This window comes from Homo sapiens, chromosome 16 (assembly GCF_000001405.40).
Source record: "Homo sapiens chromosome 16, GRCh38.p14 Primary Assembly".
Taxonomy (NCBI): Eukaryota; Metazoa; Chordata; class Mammalia; order Primates; family Hominidae; genus Homo; species Homo sapiens.
The window spans coordinates 49,066,360-49,090,213 of NC_000016.10; the positions used below are offsets into that span (position 1 = coordinate 49,066,360).

At 41.0% G+C, this 23,854-nt stretch overlaps 1 long non-coding RNA gene and 1 pseudogene across 2 annotated transcripts in view; both read right to left on the reverse strand.

Moving 5' to 3' along the window:
- MTND4LP25 (MT-ND4L pseudogene 25) lies at window positions 208–370 on the reverse strand (annotated as a pseudogene).
- The window catches only part of LOC105371241 (uncharacterized), a 50,969-nt gene continuing 32,522 nt past the window's right edge, over window positions 5,408–23,854 (reverse strand). Inside the window, exon 4 of one of the 2 annotated variants that reach the window (XR_001752138.3) lies at window positions 5,408–10,344. This is a non-coding gene — a long non-coding RNA (uncharacterized LOC105371241). The remainder of the gene's footprint in view (window positions 10,345–23,854) is intronic. The other variant, XR_933517.3, reaches the window with a different exon arrangement.

Consider the following 23,854-nt stretch of genomic DNA (forward strand, 5'->3'; position numbering starts at 1 on the left):
GCCAACATGGTGAAACTCGATCTCTACTAAAAATACAAAAATTAGCCAGGTGTAGTGAATGGTGCCTCTAATCTCAGCTACTCAGGAGGCTGAGGCAGGAGAATTGCTTGAACCCAGGGGACGGAGGTTGCAGTGAGCCAAGATCGCGCCACTGCACTCCAGCCTGGGCAACAGAGAGAGACTCCATCTCAAGAAAAAAAAAAAAAGATTATTAATTGAGAGTATGAAATGTATATTTAAGGTTATAAGAGTATTTATAATAAATATTCATAGTATTATGCCTTGGGATGATATAAGGTGGGATCGATAGACCAATATTCCCAGCAGTGATATGGTGTATGTTAATATAATAGTGATATAAACAGAGGGCATTTGGTAAATATGGTCTGTCATGTGTGTGGTGTGTTGTGTTTAAATTTACACACAGCATAAAGTTTAAAGAGTAAAGAAGCATATCAAATAAACATTAAAGATGTGTTCTCCAACTTTCTAAGACCCATTCCCCAGAGGTAACCAAAGGAAGGTATCATAAGCCCCCTCTTTATAGTCTCAGAGAGGGTAATCGGTTAGCTCAAAATCACACAGCTGGGCTGGAGATCACTGAACCCCTGTTCTTCATCGCATGTGTAGCCTGCTGTTGCAGGCTTATTTTAGCATATTTTCTTAGCCTGGCATCCAGGAATCGGCATGAACCAATTAAAATAATATACTCTGGACTCAACGACAGCAAAATGCAAGTAAAATTCTGTGTGCACCTGTCCACATGAACTTTTCTGTGGCGAGGACTCATACAATTTTAAAAATCAGATTTCCAAAGGTTATTTTAAAACAAACAAGATTAAAAGCCATAGCATTAGAGGAAGCCACTCGGGAAGTTTAGTCGTTGTCAGTGTTACAGTTGTCGCTCTAAATGAAAGATGTAACAAGAACCAAAAAAGAACCTGTGTAGTTCAGGTTTGGAGAATATGTCGCTGCTCCTAGATAATTCTAGGAGAGGGATTCTAAGTATGATCCTGGACCAGCATCATCAGCATCACTTGGGAATGCTTTAGAAATGCAAATTCTCAGGCCTCGCCAGACACCTGCTGGATTGGAAGCTCTGGGGATGGGGCAGGAGAGTGGCATCTATGTTCTAACAAGTCCTCCAGGTGCACTTGATGTCCCTTAATGTTTAAAACCACTGACCAAGTCACTAATTTAAATATATATATGTGTGTATATATACATATATATGTGTGTGTATATATATGTGTGTGTATATATATATGTATATATAAGTTTCTGCTTTGAAATTGTTCACTGATGTTTTAAAATGATCTATTTAGGTTAGGTTTCTAATTCAATTTCTAAATTAGATTTTCATGGAGGGTTTAACAACTTAGTGCAGCTAGTTTGAATTTAGGGTCAGTGTTCAGACTGGCTCTGGTCCTGCCCCTTCAACTCCCCATCCACTCCTGCAGTTGCAAAATCACCTCCGAAGCAAGCTTCTCCATCAGCAGCTTGCTGGGAGGTCAGCCAGGGACACTCAGAAAGCAGGCTAATAATAAATGGTTCACACACTTCCACCAGGACAGGGGAGGTGAGCAGAGGGAACAAACATCCTGAAGCCACCACTTAGAGAGCCCTGTGTGACTGTGTGGACTGAGTACTGCTAAGTGGTGAGTTGTTGAGTGCCTGACTGACAGCAGGGCTGAGAAGAACCCCCACCTTGTTTCACAGTTGTCATCAGCAAGCCTTTATTCCACCTGTCCCCATAGATGACTATGTTATAGACCAACGGGCTGGTATGACGGCTGTGCAGTAACGGACAATTACACTGAGACAGCAGAGTTTGCTGCAGAGAAAGAGTTTAATGATCACAGGGTGCTGAATGAGGAGATGGGAGAAGACCCTCAAATCCATCTCTCACAGGATTCTGGGCTGGGGGTTTTTAAGGGGATGGTGGAGGGTGAAGGGGCTGAAAAATTGGGTTGTTGATTGGTTGGGGAAAGGGGGATGAAGTCATTAGGATGTGGAAACTGCATTCCTCAGTGAGTCAGCTTCTTGTGGGGGTCCATGAGACCAGCTGAGTCAGCAGTTTCATCCGTATATAGGAACTGAAGGGATCTTTTGAGGGGAAAACTTAACATTTCATAATGTTCAAATTGTTACCTATAGCTCACTTAAGAAGATCGATAATCCTGTAACGGGGTCTATGGGATTCTAGGACAATAGGCACCAAACAACCCTGAGCAAGCAGCTCAGAGAGCGGCTGACCTCGTGATGAATGCTGGGTGTGCAGCAAGCTGGGCTTGTTTCCTTTATCCCCCTCCCTTCTTCCCTAATTAATTTTATAAAGCTTATAGGGACGATTTCAACTACTAACACAAAGTATAATATGGCTCAAACCAGGCTTCCCTCCAGAGTCTTTTTCTTCTCATCTGAATCTTCCCTTCAGCTTAGCTCTGTTTTCCTCTTATTTAGCCATCAGTATCTGAACCATTTTAGAACCATGGTTCAGGGTTTACCTCCTCCAGGAAGCCTTCCCAGACTTCTCCAGCCCATCTTCTTCTCTAAGCACCTGTTCACATCAATAGTATCTCATGATTTGGAGCGTACATGCTTTGTTTTAACTGTGATCTGGGTTCATTGATTTCCTTCCAGTTCACTCATGCATTCCAATTCAACCATTCAATAAAACATTTTTATAAATGTGTCTGGGCACTGTACTTGAGGCTAGGAATGATTCAGAACCAATTTGGCCTTCCAGGATCCCATAGATTGATAAAAAACGACAGCAGCCGCCACCACAATAACCTTGCTAAGCATGTTAAAAACATTATCTGATCAGATCATATCTACAATCTGAAATGATCTTGTTTCCTTTGTTTATATCTCTATTCACTGCCTATTCCGTTAGCAATTAGGTTAACTTTGGAAAAGATTTGTTGGGTCATAGAGTAGTTGTATAGTTAATTTTATAAGAGACTGTCAAAGAATCTTCCAAAGTGCTTGTAACATTTTACACTCCCACCAGCAAAGTATGAAAGTTTTCATTGCTTCACATTGTTTTCAACACTTAGTGATGACAAGTTTTTAATGTTAACCATTTTAGTGGGTGTGAAGTAGGATCTCATTATAATCTTATTTGAATTTCTCTGATGACAAATGATGATAAATATCTTTTCATGAGACTCTTGGTCATTTATATATCTTTTTTTGTAAGATGAGTTTTCAAGTCTTTTTGTTCATTTTTTGGAGGGTGTTATACTTGTTTAAATTATTATATGAATTATATATATACTGCAAGTCCTGTGTCAGATATACGTCAGATATACAAATACTCTTTGCCCAGTGAATTGTTCACCTTTCCTTTTCTTTTCTTTCTTTCTTCCTTTCTTTCTTTCTCTTTCTTTCTCCTTCCTTCCCTCCCTCCCTCCCTCCTTTCTTTCTTTTTCTTTCTTTCTTTCTCTTTCTTTCTTTCTTTCTTTTCTTTCTTTCTTTCTCTTTCTCTTTCTTTCTTTCTTTCTTTCTCTTTCTTTCTCTCTTTATTTCTTTCCCCTTCCTTCCTTCCTCCCTTCCTTCCTTCCCTCCCTCCCTCCCTCTTTCTTTTTCTTTCTTTCTCTTTCTTTCTTTCTTTTTTTCCTTTTCTTTCTTTTTTTCTTTCTTTCTTTCTTCCTTTTTTGACACAGTCTTGCTCTGTCACCCAGTCTGGAGTGCAGCAGCATCATCATGGCTCACTGCAGCATCAAATTCCCAGGCTCAAGCGATCCTTCCACCTCAGCCTCCCAAATAGCTGGAACCACGGGTGCACACCACCACACCCAGATTTTTTTTTTTTTTGTATTTTTTGTAGAAATGGGGTTTCACCTTGTTGCCAGGCTTGTCTCAAACACCTGAGTTCAAGTGATCCATCCACCTCCACTTCCCAAAGTACTGGGGCTACAGGCATGAGCCATCATGCCTGGCCCTTTTCTTTTTCTTAATGATGTCTTTTGTTAAGGAGGTGTTTTAAATTTAGAAGTTTAATTTACCATTTTTTTAAATAATTTGTGCTTTTAAGGCCCACTCTAAAAAATCTTTGCCTACCTCAAAGCCATGATGATTTTCAAAGATGTTTTCTTCTAGAAGCTTTAGAGCCTAAGCATTTACATTTAGTTCTATGATCTAGTACAAATTGAACTTTTGCATGGTATTATATAGGGGTAGAGGTTAGAATTTTTCCCATACAGTTATTTAGTTGTTCTAGTACCATTTGTTGAAGACTTTCTGTTCCCCCTTTGAACTGCCTTGATACATTATTGAAAATAAACTAACTGTAGATGTGTAAATCTATGTTAGGCTTTAAATTTTATTTCATCTTTCCATATATCTATCTTTATGACAATATTACACTGTCTTGATTTTTGTTGCTTATTAGCAAATCTTTAAGTCAGGTAGTGTGACTCCTCCAACTTTGTTCTTTTTTAAAATTGCTGTAACATTCTAGGTCCTTTGCATTGCTGTACATTTTACAATTAAGTTATTCATTTCTTTAAAAATGCCCATTGGTGTTTCAATGGGGTTTGCATTTAATATATACACCAATTTGACAAGAATTACATGTTAAAAATATTGAGTATTCTAATCCATAGTATTGTATAGTTCTCCATTTATTTAAATCTTCTTTTAAATTTATCCCAGCAATGTTTGCTGGTTTTCAATGCAAAGGCCTTGAACATATTTTGCTATATTTATGTCTAAGCATGTATGGTTTTACATTTTGCAAGTGGAATTGTTTTTAAACTATGTTTTCCTGTTGTGCGCTGCTACGATAGAGTTTATTTTTGTATACTGACCTTGTGTCTATTGACATTGTTATCTTCACTTCTCTCCTGTCACATGTTCCGTGTGTCTAACTGACCTGCATCTTATATTTAAAGAGCATGTCTTAGACAGCATATAGTTGTGTCTAGCATTTTTATCTATTCAGACAGTTTCTGTCTTTTAACAGGAACGTTTAGTCCATTTACATTTAATGTAAATATTGACATAACTAAGTCTGTTATCTTACTATTTTATGGGCTTTTTTTTCTTCTTTCTTGCCTTGTTTCACACTAATTAAATATTTTGTAGTGTTGTAGTTTATTTTTTCAGTTGGCTTTTGGCTATACTTTTTGTATATTCTTATTTGTAGTTGCCCCAGATAGAAAAAGATGTATCTTTAATTTTCCATAGTCAATTTAGAAGTAATATGGTGCCACTTTTCATAAAATGTAAAACCAAAACAGTATAATTCTTTTTACCACTCCCCCAATCTTTGTGCTATTACTGTCACATGCTTTACTAATACATAAGCTACAAATTCTACAATGCAATGTTATTATTTTTTGCTTTAAATGGTCAGGTGTCTTTTAAAATTTTTAAGAAATAAAACTGAGTCTTTTATTTTTATACATATATTTACTATTTATTAGTAAAGCTCTCCATTTCTTTTCTTACAATAGATTGGATTTCCTATTTGTTGCTAGTTCCCTTCAGTTTGAGAACTTTATTTGGCACTTCCTATAACACATATTCCCTGTTGGCACACAGCTTCAGCTTTTGCTTATCTGAACGTCTTTCTATCCCTCTTGTTTTTGAAGAATATCTCGTTTTGTTTGTGCTTTGCTTTGGGGGAGCGTAGGACATAGAATGTTGCACTGGTGTTGTTCCCCAAGCACTTTAAAGATACCATCCTTCTGTCTTCTGGGCTCAATTTTTTTTCCTGGTGTGAAATCGGCTATTATTTAATTAATCATTCCTTCATACATGATGTGACTTTTTTCCTCTGGCTGCTTTAAAGATTTTCTCTTTATTTTTGTTTCTTAGCAGTTTGACCGTGATGCACCTAGATACTGTCTTCTTTGTAGTTATCCAACTTAAAGTTCTTTAGAATTCTTGGATCTGTACATTGACGTTTTCCACCAATTTGGGAGATATTTTGGAAATTATTTATTCCCGAATTTTTTTTCTCCATTCTTTCTTTTTCCTCTTCAGGAAATTCAATTGTGCATATGTTTGACAACTTGATTTTGACCCACTAGTTACTGACTTTCTGTTCATCTACTTTCTAATATTTTATTATGAAATTTTTCAAACATATAAGAAATTGAAGAAATTATAGACCCATATTCTCACCACTAAGATTCCATAATTAACATTTTGTTTTATCACATATCTAACCATCTGCTCATTTTCTAGCCATCCATCAATCCATCTAATTTTAGGATGGCTTTCAAAGTAAGTTGTGGGCATCAATACAGTTTGTCCTCAAATCCATGTAATAGCATAGACACTATTACAAGAGTTTAATATTTGTTTGTGGTTTCTTTTCAAAGGTAAGATTTATATCTAGATACAAGTACATACGTATAAACCTTATACCTATAGTTTGTCAAAACTCATCAATGACACACTTAAAATTTTAAGTGTACCACCTGATGAATTTTGACAAATGCATACACTTGCATAACACAAACTTCTATCAAGATGTAGAACACTATCATCACTCCGGAAAGTTCTCTCATGCTCTTTCCTAGTCAATTTCCTCCCCGGAGACAACCACTGTTGTAATTATTTTTCACCAGTTTAATTAATTTTACATTAACCTATGGAAAATTGAAGTTATTATTAAAGTTTCTCATAAAACTTTATATAGGCTTAGCATGGTGGCTCATGCCTGTAATCCCAGCACTTTGGGAGGCCGAGGCAGGTGGATTATCTGAGGTCAGGAGTTCAAGACCAGCCTGAACGACATGGTAAAACCCTGTCTCTACTAAAAATAAAAACATAATAAAAATTAAAACATAAAAAATATTAGCCAGGTGTGGTGGGCATGCCTGTAATTCCAGCTACTTGGGAGGCTGAGGCAGGAAAATCACTTGAACTCGGGAGGCAGAAGTTGCAGTGAGCCGAAATCATGCCATTGTACTCCAGCCTGGGTGACAAGAGTGAAAATCTGTCCAAAAAAAAAAGTTATATAAATAAAATAATGCAGTATATACTCTTTTTTGTAAGTTTTTTTCTTTGCTTAATGATTTTTTGAGAGTCATGTTGCTGCATGTAACAGGAGTTTGTTCGTTTTTGCTTCTGAGTAGGATTCCACAATGTGAAGTTGCCACAGTTTAGTTAGCCAGTCTACTATTAATGACACGTGGGCTGTTTTCTGCTTTTAGATATTGTAAATAAAGCTACTATGAATCTTCTTGAACAAGTCTTTTACTGTGAATGTGTATTTCCCTTTTTCTTGGGTAAATACCTAGAAGTAGAATTGTTTGATCATAAAGCAGGTGTTTATTTAATTTTACAAGGAAACTGTTGGAACTTTTTTCAAACTGGTTGTACTTTTTTATATTTCTACCAACAGTTCACAAGAGTCCTGATCGCCCCATATTCTTTCCAACACTGAATGTTTTCTGTCTTTTGAATTTTAGGTATTTTGTTGGATGAATTTGTACAGATCGTGGTTTTAATTTTCATTTTCCTGAAGACCAACAATGTTGAGCACTCTTCATGTGGTAATTGACCAATGATGGATCTCCTTTTGCGAAATGTCTGTTCAAATTTATTTTGCTTATTTCAAAAACTGGGGATTTAGGCTGGGCACGGTGGCTCAGGCCTATAATCCCAGCACTTTGGGAGGCCAAGCCAAGAGATCATTTGAGCCCAGGAGTTTCAGACCAGCTCAGCAGGTTGGGCAACATAGGGAGACTCTTGTCTCTATAAAAAAAGAAAAAAAAAATTGAGCCAGGTGTTGTGGCATGTGCTTGCAGTCCCAGCTACTTGGGAGGTCGAGGTGGGAGGATCACATGGGCCTAGGAGTTCAGGCTGCAGTGAGCTATGATCACACCACTGCAGTCCAGCTTGGACAACAGAATGAGACCCTGTCTCTAAAAAGTTGTATGCATTCTTTTTATATTTTGGACACCAGTCCTTTGTGAAATATATGTTTTGGGAATATTTTCTCCCAATCTGTGGCTTGCTTACTCATTTTCTTCATGGTGCATTTGAGAAACAAAAGGTTTTAATTTGATGGCATGCAATTTATCATATTTTTCTTTTATAGTTATTGTTGGTTGCTGTTTGTGTCCCACTTAAGAAACTTTGGCTTACCAAAATCACATCCTCTTATGCTTTCTTTCAGTTTTTGTACTGTTTTAGACTTCACTTTTAAAATCTAAATCATCTTTGATTCATCTCAGGCTGATTTTTGTATGTAGTGTGGGGTTCTTTTTTCCCATGTCACTATCCAATTTCTTCTATACTATTAATATTTGCTGATAAGACTTTCTTTCTCCATTGAAAATCTTGACACATTAAAGTCAATAGCAATGGTTATTCATTTTTTTCTAAAAAAACTCTTTTTACTCTCTGTTCTTCAGATTGAATAATTTCTATTGATCCATCTTTACATTTCCTGACCCCTCATTTATAATAGCTATTGTAGTCTTTCTGTTAATTACAATACCTGTGCCATCTAAGTGTCTGTTTCTATTGACTACCAATTGCTTGATTATAGATCATATTTTTTTGTTTGTTTCACTTGTCTCACTGTAGGTGGGATATTGTGGATGATACCTTGTAGGGAGATTGGATTATGTTGTTTTCCTTTAAATGTTATGAGTTTGGCTATTAATTTAGACATTTAAATACTGATGAATTCTCATGATCCTATTACACTTTGTTTTCTTTTGTTGTTTTGTTGTTGTTGTTAGGACTGGTCTATTTTCATTTCATCATTAGTCATAAGATGTGGCCGTTATACTAGGACAGTTATTCTCAACTGAGAACAATTTTGCTCCCCATTCCAGGGACATTTTACAATATCTGGAAACATTTTGGTTTCTCATAAATGGGGGTGGGGTGCTATTGGCATTTTGTGGGTAGAGGGCAAGGTTGCTGCTAAACATCCTATAATACACAAAACAATCCCCACAAAAAAGATGACCTGGGCTGAGCATGGTGGCTCACGCCTGTAATCCCGGTGCTTTGGGAGGCCGAGGTGGGTGGATCACCTGAGGTCAGGAGTTCAAGGCCAGCTTGGCCGACATGGTGAAACCCCGTCTCTACTAATAATACAAAAATTAACCAGGCGTGGTGGTGCACACCTGTAATCCCAGCTACTTGGGAAGCTGAGGCAGGAGAATCCCTTGAACCTGGGAGGCAGAGGTTGCAGTGAGCTGAGGTCATGCCATTGCACTCCAGCCTTGGCAACAAGAGTGAAACTCTGTCTCCGGAGGGGAAAATAAAAATGACCTGTTTAAAATGCTAGTATTGCTGATACCAAGAAACTCTGTGCTAGGGTGTAGTCCTTCTCCTAGAAGCGTAGTCTTTATTCCTAATACATGGCCTTTATGCAGTCTCCACTGAGATGCACACCAGAGTTTCTCCATTCTAGCTGAGCTGGAACTCCCAGCCCTGCAGAGAGTCTCCCTATGTTTCCATTCTGTTCCCAGGCCCTTAGCAGCTGCTCTCTGCTAGGCTCCACCAAGTCTTGCTCTGTTCTTCAAAGCCCGGGCTTCAACCAACAGCCCACAGGACATGCGCATACACATTTCTGGGGTCTTTGTTCTCTCCCTCTGCAGCTTTCCTTTCCTGTTTTCTGCCCCCACATATGCCAGCCACTTCAGCAGCCCAAGCTCCGAATTCTGCTCAGCTCCATCAGACCACTGTGGTCTGCCTGGGTTTCCCCTCCCTGTGCTTCACCTGGGCAGAACCTGGGCAAACACAGGTCTCCCTCCCTTGAGTGTTGCCCTCCTCTCAGAGATCACAGTTCTGCACTGTGCCTCTGGTCCAGTGCCTGGAAATTGTTGCCTTGTTAATTTTGTTCATTTCTATTTTCATGATGGTGAGAAGGTAAGTAAGGTACTTGGAGTTTTTAAAAACACAGCTTCCCTGAGCCCCATCCTGAGAGATTCTGATTCATTGGTGTAGGCTGAGAACTGGGGGTTTCTATTTTAAAAATCCTTGGAAGATGCTGATTCAGTACCCAGATCGGGACCACAGTGGGGCAGGATAGCCATGTTTCCTTGCTCTAGGTCCTCAGATGCCTTCCATGTGATCGCACTACAGATTTAATGGGGAGAGAGGTCCTTCCACACTCAGCACACTGTACATACTGTAGCCACAGAGGCTGAGAGAAGATGTTGTCTGAGGGTAAGGCCTCTTAACACTTAATTTCTCTGGGCCTCCCTGAAGGAAGAGATTCTAGGAGCTGCAGTCACTTGCTCTGTGTTGGGGGACCATGGATCCTTTGAGGTTCTTCCCTGATGTCACTTCTGGATTCTCAGAGAAAGTCCTTTCTGCAGCCACCAAACCTTCCCCGAGGGCTCCTGAGACCTGGATCTAAAATAGAAGAGATGTTTCCAGGTTCACTATGTGCTCACTTCAACATTAATAGTAATTTATGAGTTTTAATCATTCTGTCACACAGGGAAAATATGACCAGGAGTCATTGCAATAAGGAAATCCATCTATTTTTATACCCCAGTCCTCATCTCTGCAGCATCCTCTCCAAATTATCTGCTCCAAAAGCCTCATTAAATGTTTAGAGAGGAGAAGCTCACAGGCTTCCTTTCCTCCCTACCTAAAACAGGGATCTCTGAAGCTGAGGTACAAATTATCCATAAACTCCAACCAGGCTAACTTTCTACAGCCCGGTATGCAGGACAATTTTGCAGAATGAGCTGACAGGTGAATTCACTAGTAATGCATTAGATGGGGCCAGCCCAGGATTTTATAAACACATTTTACTCACGTATTCATACTCAATCATTCTTTGCTCATTCATCCCCTAGTATATTCACTTATTTGTTAATGATGTACACATTCAAAACTATATTCACCCTTAGTCTATGCTCCACACTGTGCCTGGCTCTAAGAATGTGGACATTGATAAGCATTAATTCGTTTACTAATTTATTTCATATATGTATTTCACCACTGGGCCACTGATGCCATGCAGGGTACCTGGCACAGAGTAGGTTCTCAATACTGGAATCAGTGACCCAGTGGTGAAAAGACAGACAATATTACTGTTCTTGTGGCATATTTTTTTAAACTAGGGGACAATGCAAATAAACAAATGAATAAGCAAGTAAATGAGATCACTTTAGAAATAACAAGTGCGATCAATAAAATAAAACAGGTCAAAGGAATAGAGAGTTGTCAGGGTGATCCAGGAGGACTTCCCTGTAGTGGTGACATTGAGCTGAGACCTCAATGACAAGAGGCAGCTGACTATGCAAAGAATCGGAGGCACAATGTTCCAGGCTAAGGCAATAGCAGATGCAAAGGCCCCCAGAAATGCACTGTGGCTGGAACACTGTGCATAAGGGGAAGAGTGGCAGGAGATGAAGCCAGAGATGCAGGGAGGGGCAGATCAGTCTGGGCCTTGTAGATTAGGGAAGAGCTGTTGGAATTTTTTTCTACATGGGAGATTTGTCTATTCTTCCCTATTTATGTATTTATTTAATCATGTTTTTATATCAGTTTGAACTTATGGATGTTTATTTTATACTTTGAGTTATAATCCAATATTATTTTTATTTCGTTGCTGAAATTGTTCCCTATTTGGCCATTGGGAGCTTTTTTCAATTGGCTTCTATGTCCCTTTGACATATTCCCATAGTTGTGTTTTTGTTTTTCTTTTTTCTTTTTCTTTCTTTCTTTCTTTCTTTTTTTTTTTTCTTCCTTACTTTCTGGCACTACAAGATGCTTCATGCTAGGAACTTTGGAGAAGTACCTGGAAGCTATCAGAATGCAGTAGGGTGACTTGAACAGGTTTGTAGGGAAACCCCAGAAGCCCTAGAAGTTAATATTAATGACAAGGATATGAGTTCTCCCTGGTACCCCACAAAAAAGTGACTTTTCTATCAGCCATAATTCTGTTTGACACTTATTCATTGAGTATCCATGAGGGGAGAGGAGACGTAAAGAGATTTAAGACTTATATGTCCCTGTACTTACAACCCCTTGAAGAACTGGGTGGATCTTGCAAGAAAAAAAAAAAAGAGGACTCACAATGCTTATCCTCTCCTTCCCCATCTTGAATAAACTGAGGCCTTAGGAGAAAAGACCTGTCAATCATGGGGTGGTGTGGATGCTGGAAGTTTCCTTCCTTTTTTTTTTTTAAATCTAAAATGGCTAAAATCAAGCACAGGGTAATTTCTCAGTAGGTCACCATGCTATGTTAAATTGTTAACATCATTCTACCGTAATACTATGAGGCCTTGGAATCTAACCACGTCTCAACTCCTCCACCAACTTGTGCTATTTTAAGTAACATGCCGAGTTTCTTAACCTCTCTGGGCTGGGGTTGTCTCATCTTTCATAGACTGCGATGTGACATTCATAGCCATGTGGCATGGACTGCCTGGACTTTGGGGGCCCACAGGGCAGTGAAAATATCCAAAGTCGTTATATGCTGCATTCAAGGATATATTCCCAGCACCCAGGACACCCGGCATGTTGGAGGCCCTCAGTGAGTGTGTGTTGAATGAATGAATTGTTAAAGCCCTAATGAACTTGGTGTCCAGCTCACGCCTATAATCCCAGCACTTTGGGAGGCCAAGGCAGGTGGATCACTTGAGGTCAGGAGTTCAAGACCAGACTGGCCAACATGGTGAAACTCCTTCTCTACTAAAAATACAAAAATAAGCCAGGCATGATGGTGCATGCCTGTAATCGCAGCCACTCAGGAGGCTGAGGCAGGGGAATCAATTGAACCCGGAGGCAGAGGTTGCAGTGAGCCAAGATAGCACCACTGCACTCCAGCCTGAGCAATAAAGCAAGACTCTATCTCAAAAATAAAGAAATAAGTTAACTAATTAATAAAATGAACTTGGTGTCCAAGAGAAGTCTGACAGATTTCAAAGGCCCTTGAGTGATACGTACTAAAACAAGAATCTTCCTCTTCTTTCCCCATCCAGGTCCAACAAAAATCCTAACAAGAAATGAGCCCACTCCACCAAACAGAACTGTAATCATTCCGTCCCATGCTCCACAGCTTATCAATCGCTCTTGCATGCATCGATGTATCATGTTACTCAGTCCACCTGAGATAACTGTGAATGGCACCATTTTACAGAGAGGGAAACTGAGGCCCAGAGAGACCTCAAGTCTCACTGAAGGTCCCATGGCACAGCCAGGACTAAGAGCTAGGCCATCTGGCCACATGTCTGAGCTGTGGCTCTTGATGCTCTGAGCTTCTGTGAAGACCCAGTGGACAGTGCTGTGGATGGAAGGAGGAGGTCTTCACTTAGAGGACGATTGTGCCTCTTATTCTGCTTGGCATCTGACCCTCACTGCAGGAGCCACACACTCCTGGACTGTGATGGGTACCTTTTTCTGTTTCTGGTAAGGATGACTGTCAGGTAGGAAGGTACAATAGCAGCCCCCATTAATTGAGCCTGCATGGTGTGCCTGGCACAATTCTAAGCACTGTTTAATTCTCCCAACCAGCCCCATGAAGAAGCTTCTGTAAATATCTCAATTTTTTAGATAAAGAAATTGAGTCTTGGTAAAGTCAAGAAACTTCCTTAAGGTCATGTGGTCAGTGGTGGAGCCTGGATGTAAACCCAGCTCTTCTGGATCCTGTACTCATCTTCTTAACGTGCCTTCTCCTCAGCCACCCTGAACTCCCCTGGACAACTTGATGCAGATGACCTTGTGTCAAGTCCAGGCACATAAGGAGCTCCCCATCATCTTGTCCCTCACTCACAATCCAGTGGTCACTGCACTGCTATTGATGGGAGCTTGTGGCTGGAGCTGGAACCTGTCTCTCCTGGTTGCTTCAGTTCCTCATCTATATCTCATTGCCCATACTAGCAGAGGTCTTTTTTAACTGGGAAGGGATTGCAAAAGCTCCTTGAATTGACCTGGCTCTGGGTTCTTTCTCTGGGGCTCAGAGTAGCCCTCGGAGAGACATCATTTATCCCTGTTGGTCCAGTCTTTGCAAAATTGCCACGTTCTCTAAGCTTTCCTTCTCCCAATATCCCAATTCACATCTGTTGTCCATTTTTTACTTATGGATGTTTAAGCAGCATTGAGAAAAGATTTGGGGCTATATTTCTAATATTCTTTAAATCATGATGCATACTTAATAAAAATTCACTCTTATTACTTGACTAAACTTATTCACAAAATAATATTCCATCTCAATTCCAATAGAGTAGAATTTTCCCTGCAGGTTTATTGAATACCTACTGTGTGCTAAGAAATGTTCTTGGTGTAAAAATGCAGACAAAAATAAGTTAAATAATCCCTGCCCTGGAGGAATCCCACAAACCCCAGCCTCAGTTCAGCATGAGAAATGTTCAGGAAAAAGCCAAGTTATACACTATAGACAGGGAGAGGAGAGCTCCACACACTCTGCTGGGAGTACCACCGTGGGCTTCAGGGAGGAGGCACAACTGCAGCTGAGTTCTCCAGGAAGATAGCAGAAGGGGAAGGGCATTCCAGGCAAAGGGAACAGCATGTGCAAAGACGATGTGAAGGGACATGTGGTATCTGTGGACAAGGATGGAACGAGTAAGAGATGAGGAAAGCGTCCCATGACTGTGCCTAGAGGTGGGGGAAAGGAGACCCAAAGGTCAAGCAATTGTGCATGGATTTACCAGTGCCTGTATCTTTCATCTGTCAATGGGTCTTCCCCTTACTCCCAGAAGAGGAACCACAGGAAAGAGCAAGGCAATGAGTTGTTCTGAGGAGCTATACTGTGTGCTCCATAGATGGGTGGGCGCGCAAACACACACGCACGCGCGCATGCACACCATTGTACACAGAGGTCTGCAGAGTTCAGAACAGGGTGAGCCACCTCCAGCATCGATGGGAATTCTGACGGCCATGATGAAGTCATGCCAGTGTCTCACCACATCTTAGCTACTAGCAAGGAATCCCAACAGAACAATTAGAGTTAATTGAAATCGGCCTGATTGATTGGTGTGTATGAACTTTCATCAGAGCAGCCTCATGATGTGGGCAGAGGTAAACAGCTGAATCGGCTCTAGCAGACCTCAGCCTGCAGGAGTAAATGCAAACCGAGGTCTGTTCTGGCCTCCAGTGAGGCAGATGCCAGAGTCAAGCTCCCAGCTCCCCACACTTGGTCATGGTTTGAGTCTCTACTGCTGTTGGAAAGGTCTGGGGGTTACATGTGGGGGAATTTAGGTTAAGAAGGATCTTTTCTTCCTTGTAAACGTAGTGTGGGTGTGGGATCTGCCTTTCTAGTCTCATCTACCATTGCCCCTGGCTGGCTCCCTGGCTAATCTAAGCTTCTTGTAATTCCCTGGAGAGGCCCAGATTTCTATCTTCCCTTCCTCTGCTCTGTTCACTCCTCCTAGACGAGCACTCTCAGGTCTTACTGTGCCTATGAATCAGGCAGAGATCTTGTTACAATGCAGATTATGATTCAGCATATCTGGGAGGAGGCTTGCGACTGTGCATTTCTCATAAGCTCCCAGGTGATGATGATGCTGGTCTGTAGATCACACTCTGAATAGGAAGATCTGAGAACACTTCTTCCCTTTATTCATTTTCCTACCTCTCTTTCCACCTGCAGAATTCCTATTCAATCTTGGAAATCCAGGACAAATATGTCCCCCAAGAGACCTTTTCTGACACCCTTGCCCCCTCCTCTGTGCGGATACATCATGTGATAATTGCTTTCAGTATAGTACTTATCCTGCTAGATGGACTTTCTCTTTGTTGGATTAATCTTTTTTCTCCCCCACTTTACTTGTGCCTTTTAAGGCCACTGACAGGCCTTTATTCACTCCCAGTGCCCAGAGCAGGGCCTGGCATGCAGCAGGCATCAATACCTGTTTGCAGAACTGAATTAAATACAGCAATTCTAACTTTTTCATGTTCTTCCTCCTTTATCCTGCCTGAATTTGTCCTACATATCATAGGGGTAGGGTTGCATACGGGTAGGGTTAGGACAGGGGCCTCTGAGCCCAAACTAGATTCAGAGTTTGACTGTTTACAGAATGATAGGCAACTATTTTCCTGACTTGAAATGAGGCTTCTTTTATTTTGGCTAATAGAGAAGGAAGATGCTTTAAGTAGAGAGACTGATTCTGGAAGATTCAACAGGATACAATGGGGACAGTGATTTTTTTGTTTGTTTGTTTGTTTTTGTTTTGAGATAGAGTCTTGCTCTGTTACCCAGGCTGGAGTGCAGTGGCATGATCTCGGCTCGCTGCAAACTCTGTCCCCCAGATTCAAGCGATTCTCCTGCCTCAGCCTCCCGAGTAGCTGGGATTACAGGCGCCTGCCACCGCACATGGCTAATTTTTGTATTTTTAGTAGAGACGGGGTTTCACCATCTTGGCCAGGCTGGTCTTGAACTCCTGACCTCGTGATCCACCTGCCTCAGCCTCCCAAAGTGCTGGGATTACAGGCGCAAGCCACCGCGCCCGGCCAATGGTGGTCTTTTAAGCTACCTGGCCCCTTGGGTGACCAGGCAGATAAAGTCCTAGACTATAATTTATATCTTAGGAGAGGCACTAGAGTTAGCATAGCTGCACTGGGGCAGGCACAGGGTCAGGAAAGGGCCATTGTCTGTGCCTGAGTACAGAAGCCAGCCCTGCTTAGGCCCTGGAGGCTGGGTGGCTTTGGAGAGGTAGAGGAAGCACCATCAACACACACAGCCCTTCCTTTGAATGCTCTAAAAGTTCCTTCCAAATGGACAGAGCTAGCTCTATTTGCTTCAAAGGCACAGGACCCAAGATTTTGCTGGGAAAAAGATAGAAAAATAAAATCATATGGGAACCTAATTAGATACGAAAATGAACTATAAGATTTTTCTAACCTGGGTTAAGGTAAGGGTTAAATTACCCCCTAAGTCTGACATATGTTTAAAGCTTCTCCTTTGGGAAAAGCAAGAAACTGACCAGATATACTCACTTCTCTGGGATGGTACCTAAACATTTCTAAACATGTGAATAGAAATGGAATGAAATCCACAAGTTGTTTTCAAATGTCCAGATATTTGGATTTGTGTTGACCCTTGATTTGGCTACAGAATTAGTTTTTAATTGATTCTTTATGTCTTCTAATTAATAAAATCTAATAACCAGCATTTGTGAACACTTAGTAAAAACTAAATACCATGCTAAGCATCTTACATATGTTTTCTCATTGAACCTCCTAACAATTCCATGAGGTAAATATGACTTTCATTTTACAGCAGTGGAAACTGAGACTTTAACAGGGTTTTAAATAAACTGTGAAAGATCACACAGCTAATAAATGACAGAGTCAGAATTCACTCCCAAACAGTCTGAGACCAGCACCCACTCTTTTAACCAACATGTACTTTTCCCCAGGACTCCTTGGATCCTTGGATGGCCCCCATGTAGTCTAAAATATGCTTTTATACGCTTTCTCTCAAAGCAAGAGAGTACATGGAGGGGAATATGGCCTTTGTGAAGTACTGAACCTTCCAGAAAATCATTTCTGTCCTCACCTTGTATGTTTTACTTCTCTCATCCTGATTGTCAACCAATTTGGGCCATCTCTTTAATGACCTGGTCAAGATTGTCCTTCAAGTTATGTCTATCTCCCTTGGAGATGTAAGTACATCAAGACTACGTATTCTTTGGTTAATATTACTGTGAGCCACTTACTATATCAAGAATAATTCTAAACTCTTTATATGTATTTATTTACTTAATCCTCACAACAACCATAAAAAGTAAAGATTAACACCTTCATTTTATAGATAAGGAAAGGAAGGCACAAAGTGATTGCAGACTTTTCCTATCTTGGTGGAACTGTTTAATTAGTTGCTTTATTTAATATTCTTTCCTTCCTTTCTCAAGAACAGTCAATGGCTTCTGAAACTCCTTATCCTGTCCCCAATCTGGCCTCAAATTACATTTTCAGAGTTATTTTCTGCCACTTGTTCCCTTCACATGTCCTCGTCTCTAACTAAAGTGTGTGTCACAGTTGTCAGACACACCTCATGCTTTCTGGTCTGCACACCTTGTTATTGCTGATCTCTCTACCTGTACCACCATCTAAGGTGTGGAGAGATTTATAGCAACTGATCTATAATTCTCATGATGCCCCAGTAATCCTCTGCCATATGGCATAATTCTGTAGGGCTTTTTTTTTCCCCCAATTAGGCTGTAAGTTCCTTGGTGGGTGTGCTCATACCCCTAAATCTCTCTTACCAGCAAGCACCAGTGCCAATACATGGGTGTAAGGCAGATACTGCCAAGTGTTTGCATCTACGCATCTGCTTACATCATCTAGTTGTGTGCTTACATCATCTACCCATGTGCTTACATCATCTACCCATGTGCTTGCATCATCTATCCATGTGCTTACATCATCTACCCAAGTGCTTACATCATCTACCCATGTGCTTACATCACCTACCCATGTGCTTACATCATCTAGTCATGTGCTTACATCTAGTCATGTGCTCATATCATCCACCCATGTGCTTGCATCATCTACCCATGTGCTCACATCATCTATCCATGTGCTCACATCATCTACCCATGTGCTTACATCATCTACCCATGTGCTTACATCACCTACCCATGTGCTTACATCACCTACCCATGTGCTTACATCATCTAGTCATGTACTAACATCTAGTCATGTGCTCACATCATCTACCCATGTGCTTACATCATCTACCCATTTGCTTACATCATCTACCCATGTGCTTACATCACCTACACATGTGCTTACATCATCTAGTCATGTACTAACATCTAGTCATGTGCTCACATCATCTACCCATGTGCTTACATCATATACTCATGTGCTCACATCATCCACCCATGTGCTTACATCTACCCATGTGCTCTTCTACATTTCTCAGACTCCCTTGCAGCTAGGCAGTGTCAGGTGACTGAATTCAAGCCCAGAGAATGTGAGTAAAAATAATGCAAGTCACTTCCAAGCTAACTCTTAAAATCATCCAATACAATTTTCCACTCCTCTCTTCCCTGACACCACAGTCTTGGAAGTTCCTTGTTCTGAAGGCATAGCTATAAGATGAGAGTGGCCTGGATCCCTGTGTCACCACCTGCAGCATAACTATGCAGGGGAGACACCTAAGCTGCACAGGAATTTGTACAAGTGAGATATAATCCTTACTGTTATAAGCCACTGAGATGTGAGAGGTTTCTGTTGCAGAAGTCCACATTCGCTACTTTGACTTACGGAAGTGGTAGCTCATAACTGCTTATAACGCAAAAGAGATAAATAATAGGCATATCAGACATGTTCTTGGCTAAGTGGTATTACTTTTGATAACATATCTTACCTCCATTCATTTATCTCCAGAAAGAAGAGCAAATGTCAGGCAAAAAAAAAAAAAAAAAGATCGGCTTTATGCTGCTATAATCAGTGCCTAACATCATTTACAAATACATATCCTTCCTCCTTTAAAAAAATAGGCTTAACTTTATTTGTAATCAAGAAAACTAACATGAGAAATGATGAAACCCATGAAATTGGCAAAATTACAAGGTCTTAGGACAAGAATAATAAACGCACACTCTGCTTTTTAAGAAAAGAGGATTCCAGGTTTGGGTGACTGCCCAGGAATTCCATCCCAGCTTGAACTCCTTACAGCCAGCATCTGTGAATGATTTAATGTCTCTGATGCACCTTTACACTTTATTGCTTTGCTCTTTGCAAATATTCATAGGATTAATCCAGAGTTAGGGCCTGCAGACCAATGTGTGGCTGTGCAAATCCTCAGGACCCTGCTTAGCAAGTTTGTAAATTCACGGTTCTGCATTTCCTTTTGGTATGGGGGGGAGAGTATTTAATGTAATTTCTTTATAGGCTACACCAACTACCAAGAGGAAATCTCTGGGTGCTTAGAAATGAGACTCTCCTCCTGAAACTACCCAAGCGCATCTTTAGAGTGGTTATGGCTATCTTGCAATGGCCCATTACGTATTTCCAAATGGCAGGGAGCAGGCCTTATTTTAATAGCTTGTTAGTTTGGAAAGGAATCAGAAGGGGCAATTCCTGGGGGCTACCTTATTCTGGGCTTCTACTACCTGATCAGTTCCTAGCTCACAAATCTTTGAAGGACAGGGCTGGTCCATTAACAGCCCATCTGGAATCCAGGAAACAGCTAGGAGTGCTTTGAATCTGAGTTCCCTGAAAAAGCCCCCTCTGGACATAGACCAGCAAAGGGGGAGTGTTAAATGAATGAATAAACGAATGAATGAATGAATGACTAAAATAACATACCACATAAGTTTAATGTTTTACAGTTCATAAATGGCTTTGGGCTAATTATTTAATTCTCATGGCCACCACATTCACACTAGAATAAAATTTAAACTTCTTACCACAGTCCTCAGGAGCCCAAAAGTCTCACCCTGCCTACCTCGCTGATGTATCTCCTACAGCTCTTTCCTCACATGCTCTTTGGTGTTTGTCACACACACTGAGCAGGTCCTGACACTGGGCCTTTGCATGTGCTCACTCCTCTGCCTGGAATGCCCCTTTCAGATGTCTACTTGCAGGGTTCATGCCCCACTTTAGGTTCACTTCATGGCTCACATAGAGTTCCCTCAGAGAGGCCTGTCCTGTCTACCCTTCCTAAAAGAACACTTTTTGCTTTTTTATCCCCACTCCAGCCTATGTTTAATCATCTGTAATAGGGATCATAACAGAGCATAACGGTTGCAAGAATTAAATAATTGATGTAAAATGCTTACTTAACACAGGGCCAACCCATAATGAGTATTCAATAAATATTTGATAGTGCTGATGTTGTTATTATTTTTATTCTCTGTTTTTCCAACCATGCTTCTCCTGCGGCCTCTGCTCTGGACAAACTTAATCCCCAAAAACTGATGTTAAGTTTAAGCTGGGGAGTCCCTTTGCCCCAGCAGTGTTATAAAATGTGAATGAAGGAGGCAAGGGGGCAAGTAGGATGGAAGGACCAAATGGTATGTGTCAAGGACATGAAGATTTCCAGAGCTGTTCCAATGTGTCAGCAGATCCATATTACAGCCTTACTTAGAGGGTGCTTCCGTGGGGAAAATTATTGTTGCTTAGCAGATGACACAAATGAAACCTAGAGGGACCAAATGTTTGGAAAAATACTCCACAGCCCAAGGAAGGAAGAGCAGAGGACTCAAACCTCCAGCAAAAAAGAGATCTGAGACCCCAAAGCACATTTTTCTAGCAGAACCAAATTCCTCTTGACATGATCCTTACTCTGCTTTCCCGGGGCCTAGGTCTAGGGCGGAGGAGAGGGTGAGTCCTCAGCCATGCTAGAGCATTGGCAAACGCTCAGCTCGAGTACCTTTCCCAAGGGCCACAGGTATGGGTGCCTGCACTCACACACATCTTGACCAACCTGGCTTCATGTTGATATAAATGTATTTAAAATTGGTAATTTCTTTTCTTCTGAAAATCATGTTATTTACTAGCTATATTGATTACGGTCATGTTTCTACTGGTGGAAAAGTAATTTATCTCATTGGAGTCATCTGTGTGGAGGTAGTGAGGGCCCGGTGGAAGCCAAGTTAATAGCTGGTTTTGCCAGCAGGCCCATCTTTATTAGCAACAACATCTCTCATCAAAAATCCTATTTCAGAGCAATGTAAGCTATAAACCTGTGGCTCGTTGACCATGCAGAGACCAGCCACAGGGCTCTGAAGACACAGAGTTCAAACATTACCGAAAAGGCAACCACTCAAGAAGCATAAGGCAAGAGTGGAACGGAACCCGTACTTTAGACAAGGCTGGGAGGTGGGAGTTCCTCATCACGGGGACGGCTCCAACAGAATGCTGCGTCTTGAGTCACGGCATAGGGAGGAAGAGGGCAGAAAGTTGGGTCTCTATGATAATCCTTAATCCTGCAATTCTATGAAACTAAGAATCTACGTTTGTGATTCTAGGGTTTGCACAAAGAGCAAAAGGGCCAAACAACTAGTCAAACTTTCCTTATGGAAACTTTAATAAATACATAAAATATTACAGAATCCACTTTCAAAATTCACAGCTTGGCTCTAAGTCCATTCTCCTTCTGAGACACTTCCTGCCTTCTTCATGCTCTCTGCATTGTCAGAGACCCGCCCTGCAGCAAAGAGAAACAGACTTACACCTGTCAGAATGGCTATGATTAAAAAGACAAAAAATATCAGATGTTGGCAAACATGTGGAGAAAAGGGAACACTCGTACACTGCTGGTGGAAATGTAAATTAGTTCAGTCTCTGTGGAAAACAGTATGGAGATTTCTCAAAGAGCTAAAAAATAAACAACAGCAGCAACAAAAATCTACCATCAGATTTGGCAACCCCACTATGGATATCTACCCAAAGGAAAAATAAATTATTGTATAAAAAAGATACCTGCACTCATATATTTATCTCAGGACTATTCATAACAGCAAAGATATGAAATCAACCTAAGTGTCCATCAACAAATGATTGGATTAAAAATGTGGTATACATACGCCATGGAATACTATTCAGCCATAAAAAGAATAAAATCATTTCTTTTGCAGTGACATGGATGGAACTGGAGACTATTATTAAATGAAACAGTCAGACACAGAAAGAAAAATATTGCATGTTCTTACTTACAGGTGGGAGCTAAATAATGTGTACACATGGAAGTAGAGAATAAAATGTTAGACAACAGAGACTTGAGAGGGTAAGGGGGTAGGAGGGAGTTAGAGGATGAGAAATAAGTGATTGGGTACAATGTAGGCTATTCGGGTGATGGATACCCTAAAAGCCCTGACTTCACCACTACACAATCTATGCGTGTAACAAAATTGTACATGTAGCCCATAAATTCACACACACAGAGACTGCCTCCCTCATCCAAAGGCCCACGACTTGGGTATTTGATGGCAGCAATCCCACTCCCCCGAGATGAGGCATCACTGCCTTGTCTCCCCTGGCCCCACTCCAATATGTCTCATGCCTCTCATTACTGTAGGGAGTCCACACAGGGATACAATACTTATTTCCCATATACAGTTATTCATCAAAGACTTACTGAGCCTCCACTGTGTGTCTGGCACTATGCTAGGTATTGGGGATCTGCTGAGGAACAAAACAGAATCTCTTCCCTTGTGGGACTGCCAATCTAGTGAGGAGAGGACAACCAGAAAATTACCAAAATAAATACATTATTACAACGGCTAAATGTGCTGAAGTAAATAAAGCTTAAGGGTGTGTAGAATGTGTCACAGAAGGGCCTGCCTTGGTCTGGTGGACATGATGTCTGAGCTGAGATCCAGAGAGCGAATAGAAGTTATCCAGGCAACATGGGAGTGCAGGAGAACATTCCTAATAAAGATAGCTTCAAGAGACAAGACTGGGACAACCAACAAAGGAAAACCAGGGTCAGTGTGGCTGCAGCAGAGGGTCCACCTTGTGCAGCTCAGAGGGGGACTTGCAGTGAATTAGTACAGACTATTTTGGGTCCAACGGACAAAACCCAATTCAAACTGCTCATGACTAAAAGAGACAGTGATGGCTCACACAACTGAGAGTCATGCAGAGCATCTAATTTGAGGCTCAACTAGATCTGGGTGTCTAAACTAGGCCAACAAGAGGATTGTCTTCCATCTCCTCTCTGCTCTTCCTCTTCATTGGCTTTGTTCTTAGGCAAGCTATGCCTATGTGGTACAAATAGGGCCACCAGCAACCCCATACCCACTTCCTATCAGCTGAACTTCCCCAAAGGAAAGGGCACCTCTTTCCCAATTATTTATTTTAAAATCCTAGGGCTGATCATTGACTTGAATCAGTCATGTGCCCAACCAAAGAAACTGCAATAGTCCAATTTGTCAGTGCTGGTACTGGAGGTTTAGGGGTCAGGGGTGTTGTCAACCCTACTGAAATCACA